The sequence below is a fragment of the Homo sapiens genome, chromosome 8, assembly GCF_000001405.40.
Source record: "Homo sapiens chromosome 8, GRCh38.p14 Primary Assembly".
Taxonomy (NCBI): domain Eukaryota; kingdom Metazoa; phylum Chordata; class Mammalia; order Primates; family Hominidae; genus Homo; species Homo sapiens.
Window position 1 is genome coordinate 124,177,889 of NC_000008.11, and position 12,857 is coordinate 124,190,745.

The window sequence follows — 12,857 nt, forward strand, 5'->3', positions numbered from 1 at the left end:
TCCAACTGAAACTTTATTTTCCTTAGATCCATTTCTAGTCCGAAATCACTGCACCTTGCATCCCTACATTCTAGGAAAAGTCATGGAGTGACCGAATTTAAGATCTGCCGGTCACTGGCAGCTTAACTTACAATTTCTAATTGTCAGTTTCAATGTGTGTAGAATGGGAATAATAGTACTCAACTCAGCAGGTGGTTGGAAAGATCAAATGAGATAATCCACAAACAGCACTTAGTGTGAGGCCTAGTGCATAACGTGCATCCTATAATATTAGCTGTCATTATGTTGTTGTTAAATAGGACAGGCCCACAGGAACTGGCTCTGCCCTCTTTTATGCTCTTTTCTTCTACCCCCATGGTAAGACATTTGTCCCCCTTACAGAGAGAAGACAAGCCCCACCCCTCAGAGAGTCCCCCCACCCCTCAGAGAGTCCCCCCACCCCTCAGAGAGTCCCCGCACCCCTCAGCCCTGCCTGAAAATGACCCAGCAGAATTTCTCCAAGTAAGATTCAGGGACTGGGGGCAGTGGTTCACGCCTATAATCCCAGCACTTTGGGAGGCCGAGGCAGGAGGATCACCTGAGGTCAGGAGTTTGAGACCAGCCCCTGGCCAACATGGTGAAACCCCATCTCTACTAAAAATACAAAAATTAGTTGGGCATGGTGGTGCACGCCTGTAGTCTCAGCTACTTGGCAGGCTGAGGAAGGAGAATCGCTTGAACCCAGGAGGCGGAGGTTGCAGTGAGCCGATATCATGCCACTGCACTCCAGGCTGGGCAACAGAGAGAGAATCCATCTCAAAAATAGAAAAGAAAAGATTCAGCAATCACCTACATTAGCATCAAGTGACAGAACTTGTCAAAAATGTTCATTTCTGGACCAATGGAATCAAGTCCTCCAGGTCCAAGATGAAAGTAAATAGTAAGGGGCCCTTGGGAACAAGGCTGGAAGGGTCTTTGAGACCAAATTACCAGGACTGATGACACTCATCACCCACCACTGTCCATTCCTTCACCCAAACAATATGGCACGAGCCCATCCTGAGCACAGCACTGTGCATGACTCAGACACACAGGGAGGTCAAGATAAGTGAGCCCTTATCCTCATGGGGTTTATAGTCCAGTGGAGAAGAGAGAGCAATAAGCAGTCAAAATACAGGGTGCTGGGTGCAGAGTGCACGGAGAAGAAATGGGCAGGACTGTGAGAGACAGACAAGGGGCACTCAATTCACATGGTACGAGGGGTCACAAGGCTTCCTGAAGTAGCATCTGAGCAGAGCCCTGCACTCTGAGCGTTACCCAGACGGAGGTGGGGAGGGCATTCCAGGCAGAGGGAGCAGTCTATGGAAAAGCTAGGCAGAAAGAACAGGTTTGAAGAATTGCACATGGCTTTGCATGAGGACCATGGAGTGCTAGGGATAAGGGAGGTGAGCCTCGCAGTTGCCCAGCAAGCAGCACCAGATGGGGAAAAGGCTTGCAGACCAAGACACATAATGATCTGGGCTTTAGTCTATAGAGAAGCTTAAAATGGGGGTGGGGGTGATGTGTAAATCTGATTTACATTTTCAAAAGATCACCCTGGATACTGTAGAAAATAATTAGAGGGGAGCAAGGATGGGTGCCTTTAGAAGGCTATTGCATGGTAGAGGGGAGTGGTGGTGGATTGCACTACAGTAATACCAGTGAGGACGAGAAAAATGCATAGATTTCAGAGCGTTTGGAAGCTCTGGCCAACGGGACTTGATTATTAATGAGAGGTGCAGAGTGTGTGTGTGTGTGTGTGTGTGTGTCTGTGTGTGTGTCTGTGTGTGTGTGTGTGTGTGTGTGTGTGTGTGTGTGTGTGTGTGTGTGTGGTGTTTGGGTGGGGTGGTGCTAGCTGCAAGGGCATGAAGCCTGAGTTTATAAAGGGAGTGTCTGCTGTCACAGGCGTTCTGGGGAAAGGGCTGTAGCTCTGCTCCCCTTCGTGCCATGCCTTGCTCCCACCAACAGCTGTTTCTTTCTACCTGGACAACAGATGCCTGAACATCCTAGGACCTATCCTCTTTTTAGAGATTACACGTTTGTGTTGTAATAATCCATTGTGTGTCTGCCTCCTCTGATTGAGCTGTGAATTTCTTATGGCAGGGACTGGGGCTGGGAGAAGTACTGACATAGCACTCACTAAGTTCAGTCTTCAGACCACTAAATTGGGGGTTAGGATTGAACATGCAGTTTCTGGGGCTCCAACTCCAGACTTCTAGAATCAGATTCACTTGAAGTAGGGCCCAGGAATCTGCCTGTTAATCAACACCCCAGGTACATCTGAAGCTTAAGAAGTTTAAGATTGTGCTTGTTACATGCCAAGAAAGATTCCTTTGGACTATAAAGGGAGATCCCTTGGACTATAACGTCAAGAGGATATACAGTAAAGAGGACAAGCTCTGGAGTCAGCCTGAGACCTATTTCAGATCTTCATTGAACCTCAGTGCTCCCATCTCTAGACTGGGGTACTATGCCCACTCCTCAAGGATAAGTGGGCTACTGTAATCTGTGAAGCACAGGATGTGGCACAAGGCACCCACTCAATGAACACTGGTTGAATAAACTTGCAAAAGACGGTGACCGCAGCATGCAAGCAGATTTGTTTGCATTTTCGTCTCAGATTTCCTTTGCTACTTCATAGTCACTAAATACCAGTTTGACTTGAACAGCAGTTACATGCTAATGACAAAAAGCAGTGGCGTGCTTGTTCTCAGAAACCTGAGAATCCACTGGCTCTGTTAAAATGAAATTCTACTGAGTTGACCACAAGGACATTTCCTTGTCCCCAGAAAAAGACTCGCCTAAATTAAGTTGCAGTGTAACCTCTTCCAAATGTTGCCCAGACTGAAGAGTGCTTTCATATTATTCCTTTATCCAACTCTCTTTCCATCTGGCCTCTTTGTAAAATTCTTCCTCCGTTGTTTCAGAACTAAAATGACACCTTCTTAGAATTCCAGCATGCTACTTCTCAGTAGAAAGTGTGGTATATCAGAGGCAGCGGGCTTGGGAGTCCGTTGGGAGGCCTGATTTGGAAGGCCAGCTCCAGCAGTTACAAGCCGAGCAACCCTGAGCAAGTCACGTAACTCTTCTAAGCCTTGATGATAATCTCTGTAAAGTGGGTATGACAACAGTTTCCACATTATAGGGCTATTATGAGGATTAAGTCATCCTTGCACAGCCCTTAGAATGAAGGTTAGCACAGAGTAAGCACGTAGGTTGGCTGTTTTCAGATGTATTCAGTGGCAAATATGTGGCTGGTCCCTGAATCTCTCGGCTTTGTAGACTTATATGCTCTTTAACTCCACTCAGTGAGGCCTGTCTCTCTCTCTCTCTTAGGTCCAATTTCCATGTTCAATTCATAATCAAACCTACCTCAAAAAAAAGAAGTGAAGAAAATTTTCGCCACTAATGTGTTATTGAAGTGTCACCCTCAAATAATGAAATTCAGAAAATATGATGAAGTATTGAGTTTATTTCAGCACAAAGCTTGAGGATAGCCACTTGGGAAACATAGACTCCAAAGGAATGGGGTCAGTGCTCCAAAGTGGAGAAGTTAAGGTTTCACTTATAAGGCAGAGACAGAGAAGTGTAATAGGGTTACAACATTTTCCATGCAAGGTCAGTACATGTTACAGTGATTTGATTGGTTACAGCTTGTTGCATGCCAAGGAAGGTTCCTTTAACATTCCATAAGGAGGGGTAATGGCCTGGAAAGGTCTTAACTCTGGCACCATTCGGTCCTTCCGAATCATTTACAGGAAAAACCAGAAGTTGCAGCTGCATGCTATATGACTCAGGTCACATGGCCGCATTGCTCTCAAGGCTCAACATAATTTAAAGTTCCGCCAGCTTTAGGTTTGAATTATTTAATTTCACAACAGAAAGTAACTTTTCCTCTGACCTTTTCTGGAAGAATTCGTGGTTTCCTAAATTCCAGCCCAAAACTTATCTCAATGCTGCCAAACATATCTCCATGAATCAGCCAAATTCCTCAATAGGAAGGAAGCTTTTAAAAATAAAAATTAGACCCATTGACTGGGCATAATGAATAATAGAAGTAGTAGAAGGAAGTTATAATACTCATCCTTCCACTCTTAATTTCTGCCCAGGGTTCACGGCAAAGCAGCTTTGTGGCCCAGGCATTTTGTAAAATGGCTGTGGCTAGTGGCAGAAGGCACTTTGTGGCTCCTGCTGGACTAGGACTAGGCTGTCCTGAGCAGCTGCAATTAAAATCAGAGCACTTGGGTAGAGTCTGAAGTCTGTCTCAACAGGAGGACAGTATGCCAGCTATAGCTGCTCCCTTCTCTAGGGCTCATCTCCTTAGAACAGCGGTTCTCAAACTTTGCTGCATTTTGGAATCCCCATGTTGGAAGATGGGGAGTTTTGAAAAATCTTAATGCCCAGGCCAATTACTTAAGAATTTCTGACTTGGGGGGAGAGGGTGGGGTGGGGATATGTAGGACTCAAGCATCAGTAATAGTGTTTCAAATTTTAATGTGCATATGAATTGCTTTGTTAAAAATTGTTTCAACGTTGAATACAGATTCAGATTCAATAGGTCTGGGTTGAGGAAAGCGATTCTGCATTTCCAACAAGCTCCCAGGTGAGTCTTCACTGCTGGTCTAAGGAGCAGAATTTGGGTAGCAAAGTCTTAGACAGTTCTTCCTCCCACCGCATCCTGTACATCAAAATTAGTGCCTGACCCTCACCGGTCCATTGCCCAAGGTTGTAACATCAGAGATGAAGGCCTTTTCATTAGTTTATTTATTTCCAGGACCCAGTCTAAGGAAAGTGAGCTAATTATTATGGATTTATCTGCATTATCTTGTTTAAGGAGAAGACACTTAGAAAAATGGGAATTGAAATTTGTTCTTGCCATCAGATCTTGCTGATCTATAAAACACCATTATCCTTATACTTATTATTATAGAACTTTCCATTTTGAGCTTCTCCTTTCTTCCAGCTCCCAGGTCCTATAATAATATTCTTTAAGGACTTGCCCACATGGAGCAAAGCCAAATGGTGCAATGGTTCAGGAAGGTCACTAAGGGCCAAATGGTGTGTGCTTAAATTCTGGCCCTACCACTTAGTGGCTGTGTGAACATGGATGATTTATTTAACCTCTCTGTGCCTCGGCTTTCCCATCTGTAAATTGGAAGTTATAGTAAGTAAATGAATATATCTACAAGTAAAGGCTAAATGCTGTCCCTAGAACCTTATGTGAATTAACTCTCTTAGTCCTTATAATAATTTTACCAGGTTAACTTATCATCCCCATTTTGTAGATGGGTTAAGGATTTTGCCTGAGGTCACACAGCCAGGATTTGAGACCAGGTAGCCTGACTCCAATACTCATCCTGTTAACTACCAAGATGGACTATCTCTCACATGTAGCAGCTAGAACTACAACGGTGGTCTGCTAACTCTCAGCAAGGGGCTCCAGGACTGGGTCATACTTCAATTGTCTGCCATAGTCAGCCACAATCCCTCAATCCCACAGTCCCCCTGCAGTCTCGCATAAGGCCCTAACACCTACGCAGCCACTGTGCAAAGAACATGCTCCACCACCCCCCTTCTATGGGCTGACAACTGGACCATCTCAGGCAAGGTCTTTTGCATCAGCTCAATTCAATGAATCATCCACATGGCTGTTCACTTTCAGAGCACATTCTAAACACTGCTCTGAGTCAGCCTCCTGTGCTCAGTTTTGGAGGTGCTCAGATGAATTCAAACAAGCCCCTGCTTTAGGGAGCTCAGAGGGGCCTCAGGGAGGAGACAGATGTGTGAGAGATGCCTATGGTAACTCTCAGGAAGTGTTTAAAAGGGGAAATGAGGCCAGGTGTGGTGGCTAACGCCTATAATCCAAGCATTTTGGGAGACCGAGGTGGGCGGATTACCTGAGGTCAGGAGTCTGAGACCAGCCTGGCCAACATGGCGAAACCCCATCTCTACTAAAAATACAAAATAATAATAATAATAATAATGAGCTGGGCGTGGTGGCGCATGCCTGTAGTCCCAGCTACTCGGGAGGCTGAGGCAGGAGAATCACTTGAACCCAGGAGGCAGAGGTTGCAGTGAGCTGAAATGGCACCACTGCACTCCAGCCTGGGTGACAGAGTGAAACTCTGTCTCAAAAAAAAATAGAAAAATAAAAAATAAAAAGGGGTAATGAGCAAAGAGAGAAAAGCTCTGGCTGGGCACATCAGGGAATGCTTCTAAGAGGTAACACATAAGCTCAAGAATTATCAGGCAAATTAATGAATTAATCAGTTCACTGATAACACCATGCCTTGGTGCTAAAGATACAAGGGTATACTGGATAATTTGTTTCCTCCTCAGATCTGTTGGCTACTTCTCCCACCTGCTCTGTGCCCCCAGGAAGCTGACCCAGATGGACTACATTAGCAGGCTGCTTTGCCCTCTGGCTTCGGGTTGTGTTTGGCCAGGGAGAGGCATCAAGAGGAGATTAGCAGGTGGAAGAAGAATGAGGTTGGGTGTTTATTCCCTAAAGCATGGCCCCACAGGGTTGCCTAAAGTTGATTGCATTCCTCCACCCAAGGCCTTGGCTCCTGTTGGGTGACCCTCTCTATAGCTCTTCGAGTTCTAGATTTCTTCACTTGTCCTTTCAGACCTATAAGGAGGCTTCCTGCAGGGATTAAAAATTCCCCAGATGGAGTAAGAAAAAAAGCCATTACTTATTTATTCAATCAATGCATATTTATTGAACATTCAGATATCAGACCCATTTGAATGAAATGCTGAGCTTGGAAGTTTTAATAATGGTGGGAAATGGGGGGAAGGAATAAGTCAGAAACAGAGGGGTCATCAAGAAGGACAGGTGAGGGTTAAGAGCTGCATGGACATCTGTTTGTTCACCTTTCACCCCTCCCCCTTCTTTCCTGTTTGAGTACATTCCATGTGGATCAGGTGGAACCAAGCACACTTCACCCTATTCCCACCCTATCCCCAAAGAGGTAGACAAATGATCCAGGCTCATCTAATCAGAATACAGCATTCTCCAGGCTAAGAGATGAGTTTATAGACCCATGCAAGGCCAGTCAGAGTCCTTCAACAAGATCTGATAAAGGGATACTGGGAGAGAGGGGAAGCCAGTATTTAATAACACCAGGTACCAGGTACTATTTTCCAAAGCATTATTGGATATTTCTTCACAATGTCTTTTCAAAATGGATGTTTACTATCCTCATTTTACAAATGAGAAGACTAAGACTTAGGGAGGTTAAACATCTTGCCCAAAAACACAGAGCTAGAAAATGGCAGAGCCAGGATTCCACAGTCCAAACATTGCCTTTACTCTGTTGTTCAGAATACAACCATCGCCACAAAAGATATACTATTCAGTAATTTGGCAATTACTTTCCTTAAATTCAAATCAAACCAATACCCAGCCCAAGTCTGGGAACTGGGAATGCTCACAGAGAAGAGAAATCTGAGGTGGAGGCAAGTCAATGCCTTTAAAAATCCAGGTATCAAGGGGAGGACAGGTGGGGAAGCAACATGTCCCTGGATCCAGGGACTCTTGGATGACACAGATTGCTGGCTGGTAGATCACTGGCCAAAGAGTCAGGAACCTTAAGCCTCATTTTGTGCACTCTTCAAATTCCTAGGACATCTTTCCCCAGAGCAGGGATGGAGGAAACAGGGGAGAGAACCAAAGACCATGAAGAGTTTCGAGAAAGGCTGTCCTGATGCTCCCATCATGCTGCTGATGTCAGCCTAAAACATCTTGGTGTGCCAGGAAGTAAGGAAGTCCTTGAAGAATGATGGAAACTTGTCAAAAGAACATAGAAGACAGCTTGAAGAGGCTACTACAGGCCATTTCTGGGACAATTTGAGCATCACAATAAACAGCAATAGTAGTGAATTATTAAACCATACAATAAAGTAAGAACCTGGCCAGGTACGATGGCTCACACCTGCAATCCACTGAGGCGGGCGGATCACAAGGTAAGGAGATCAAGACCATCGTGGCCAACATGGTGAAAACTCATCTCTACTAAAAATACAAAAATTAGCCAGGCATGGTGACATGTACCTGTAGTCCCAGCTACTCGGGAGGCTGAGGCAGGAGAATTTCTTGAACCCAGGAGGTGGAGGCTGCAGTGAGCCGAGATCACACCACTGTACCCCAGCCCCCGTGACAGAGCAAGACTTCGTCTCAAAACAAACAAAAAAAAACAAACAAAAAAGAACCCATGAGTCCATACTGATACATGGATAATATGGGAGAAGGAAACTCTCTTTCTTAAATTAGAACACCAACAAATAAATGTAGAAGGAATGATGGAAATAGAAAACCATCACTTGGCAACTATCATAATAATAATTGATTAAAGCATCCATTGATATGGATGTTAAAACTAGTGGGTGAAAAATTTAATAATTAAGAAGGTATTTATATAGCCTCAAAGGCTCTCTGTCAAGAGATAATAATTAATTATAAAGGGGAAAATAGTAACTTTATAGTGAAGAAAATAACATCACCTTAACCAAAGTTAACATCCTCAGTAATGAGAGAGACGAACATTGTGTGCCTCCTGAAATCATTCACTAAAATGAGCACAATGTACTTTTATAATATTCCTGCCAAAAATCCATAACCTGAATCTAATCATCTGAGAAACTCAAGTCACACTGAGGGGCATTATGCTAAATGACTCATACTCTTCAAAAATGTCAATGTCATTAATGACAAAGGAAGAACTAGAACTATTCAAGATGAAAGGAGGTCAAAGAGACATGAAACTGAATACAACACATCATCCAGGACTTACTCTTTCTATAAAGGGGAGTATTGGGACAATTGGTGAAAAGATAGACAGAGAAATAGATACCAGATAGGAATACGAATAAGAGCTATACATTAGATAATAGTGTTCTGTCCATTATAATGTTCATAAATTGATAATTTTACTGTGATTCTGTAAGAGAATAATCCTTGTTTTTAGAAAATACATACTAAAACATGTAGGGGTAAAAGGACACCATGTTTGTAACTTTCAAATATTTTAGAAATAAAATAATGTGTGTGTTTGTGTTTGTGTGTATGTGTGTCTAGTGAAAGAGAAATCAAATGAAGAAAAATGCAAATACCTGGGGAATCTGGATAAAGAATATACAAGAATTATTTAATTATTCTTGCAACTTTGCTACAAGTTTTAGATTGGGTCAAAATAAAAAGATTTTTAAAAATAGAAAGTAAGCATTCAATAGGGGGATCTGATCTAGACCACACTATCTGGAAAAGCTTCTCAGGGAAAGTAACTTTGAAGCTAATACCCACTGTCATTGTCTTGTGATCGTCCAGTTATCTCCTACTTTAAAGGCAGGAACTTTGTTGATTCTTCTCACACAGTGTTTTCAGTTCCCAGTACTGTGCCTCAATAAGTATTGATTAATTGATTGATTGATTGATTGGTTGGTTGGTGGGATGGATAGACAAGACATAATCTCAACCTTCAGGAAATCTATAAGAGAATTCACTAAAAGGCACAAAAAGATAAATTTCATACATCTTAGGAAAAGAATTATAGTTTCTGACCCAACGTTTCTATTTTTAAAAAATAATTCCAATATTTTACAAAAATTAGCTGGGTGTGGTGACGGGCATCTGTAATCCCAGCTATCTGGGAGGCTAAGGCAGGAGAATTGCTTGAACCCAGGGCGCGGAGGCGGCAGTGAGCTGAGATCGAGCCACTGCACTCCAGCCTGGGCAACAAGAGCAAAACTCCGTCTCAATAATAATAATAACAATAATTCCAATTTTTATTTTAGATTCAGTGGGTACGTGTACAGGTTTGTTACATGGGTATATCGTGTGATGCTGAGGCTTGGGGTACAACTGACCTTATCACCCAGGTAGTGAGCATAGTACCCAACAGTTTTTTAATCCTTCCCCCCTCCTGCCAAACCCCCTTTACTAGTCCCCAGTGTCTATTGTTGCCATCTTTATGTTCCTAAGTACCTAATGTTTAGCTACCACTTATAAGTAAGAACATGTGGTATTTGATTTTCTGTTCCTGCATTAATTTGCTTAGGAATTAGTTGCATCCATGTTGCTGCAAAGGACACGATTTCATTCTTTATATGGCTGCACAGTATTCCATGGTGTATATGTGCCACATTTTCTTTATTCAATCCACCATTGATGGGAACTTAAGTTGATTCCATGTCTTCACTATTGTGAATAGTGCTGCGATGAAAATACAAGCGCATGTGTCTTTTGGGTAGAATGGTTTATTTTCTTTTGGATATATACCCAGTAATGGGATTGCTGGGTCAAACGGTATTAAGAGTTCTGGTATAAGTTCTTTGAGAAATATCCTAACTGCTTTCCACAGCGACTGAAATAATTTACATTCCCACCAACAGTGTTTAAGTGTTTCCTTTTCTCCACAGCCTCACTGGTATCTGTTGTTGTTGTTTTTGACTTTTAAATCTTAGCCATTCTGATTGGTGTGAGATGGTATCTCATTGTGGTTTTGATTTGCATTTCTCTGATGATTAGTGATGTTAAGCATTTCTTTATATGTTTGGTGGCCACTTGAATGTCTTCCTTTAAAAAGTGTCTGTTCATGTCTTTTGCCCACTTTTTAATGGGGTTATTTGTTTTTTGCTTGTTGAATTGTTTAGGTTCCTTATAGGTTTTGGGTATTAGACCTTTATCAGATGCAGAGTTTGCAGATATTTTCTCCCATTCTGCACGTTGTCTTTTACTCTATTGATAGTTTCTTTTCCTGTGCAAAACTCTTTAGTTTAATTAGGTCCCGCTTGTCAATTCTTGGTTTTATTGCAATTGCTTTTAAGGACTTAGCCACAAATTATTTCCCAATGCCAGTGTTCAGAATGGTGTTTCCTAGGTTTTCTTTTAAGATTCTTATAGTTTGAGGTCTTACATTTAAAATCTTTAATCTGGCCAGGTGCGGTGGCTCACATCTGTAATCCCAACATTTTGGGAGGCCAAGGTGGGCAGATCACCTGAGGTCAGGAGTTTGAGACCAGCCTGACCAACATAGTGAAACCCTGTCTCTACTAAAAATACAAAAATTAGCTGGACATGGTGGCAGGCGCCTGTAATCTCAGCTACTCGGGAGGCTAAGGCAGAAGAATTGCTTGAACCCAGGAGGTGGAGGTTGCAGTGAGCTGAGATTGTGCAACTGCACTCCAGCCTGGGTGCCAGGGTGAGACTCAGTCTCAAAAAAATAAAATAAAATAAAATCTTTAATCCATCTTGAGCTAATTTTTGTACATGGTGAAAGTTAGAGATCTACTTTTTATTCTTCTGCATATGGCTAGCCAGCTATCCCAGCACCATTTATGAAATAGAGAGTCCTTTCTCCATTGCTTGTTATTGTTGACTTTGTTGAAGATCAGACGGTTGAAGGTATGTGGCTTTATTTCTGGCTTCTCTATTCTGTTTCATTAGTCTATGTGTCTATTTTTGTACCAGTGCCATGTTGTTTTGGTTACCGTAGCTTTGGTACAGTTTAATTTTGGGTAATTTGATGCCTCAGGCTTTGTTCTTTTTGTTTAGGATTGCCTTGGCTATTCGGTTCTTTCTTGGTTCCATATGAATTTTAGAACAGTTTATTCTACTTCTGTGAAAAATGACATTGGTAAGTTGATAGGAATAGTGTTGAATCTGTAAATTGCTTTGGGCAGTATGGCCATTTTAATGATATTGATTCTTTCAATCTGTGAGCATGGAATATTTTTCCATTTGTTTGTGTCATTTATGATTTCTTTCAGCAGTGTTTTGTAGTTCTCTTGCCTTGATGCTCTAGCTAGTACTTCCCATTCTATTTTTTAGAGTCTACCCTAATAACATTTCAAAATATTTGGCTAAAAGAATGTTTATTGCAACATTTTTTAAAAGAGCACATATTTTAAGTCAATATGATTTCTAATAGTAACAGCTTGATTAAATAACGTTTGGTCCCTTTATGATGAAATGGTACACAGTCATCAAAATTGCCCCCCAGGCAGATGGAACAGCACGTGGAAAGGCCTGGAGAAGTATCTTCCAGATTCTGAAGGATTTTTAAATTTTAATTTATTATTTTTGAGACAGAATCTGGCTCTGTCACCCAGGCTCGAGTGCAGAGGTGCGATCTCAGCTCACTGCAACCTCCAACTCCCGGGTTCAAGTGATTCTCCTGTCTCAGCCTCCCAATTAGCTGTGATTACAGGCACCCACCACCACGCCTAACTAATCTTTGTATTTTTAGTGGATACGGGGTTTCACCATGTTGGCCAGGCTGGTCTCGAACTACTGACCTCAGGTGATCCACCCGCTTCAGCCTCCCAAAGTGCTGGGATTACAGACGTGAGCCACCACCCCCGGCCTGAGATTCCAAAGGATTTTAAAAGCCATAATTATAAGTTTAAACTCACTTCTGAAAGCAACCAGGAGCTTTGAGGATTTTAAGCAAAGGAGTAACACTGGCTACAAAACATACGTGAGATAGGGCAGAAAGGGGACTGAGCCAGAGAGACTACTTACAAGCTGTTGCCATTGTCCATGTGAGAAGCACTGAGCCAAAGGACTGCAGTGGGGTAGAGAGAAGTAGATGAATCCCAGAAGTGTTCATATTTAGAACTGCTGAAATTTGCTTACCAATTACATGTGGATGCTGAAGATGGATTATACACCTTGTCTTTGCTCTGTGTCCCCCAAATACTTTAAATGCTCCATTAACTCGTGGATAGTTTCCATCAGTGTTACCCTTGCCTTCCCAGAGCAGAAACAAAACCTACATTTCCCAGCCTCCCTCACAGCTTGGGGGCAGAAATGTGCCTGATTCAACTAGCCAGATGCA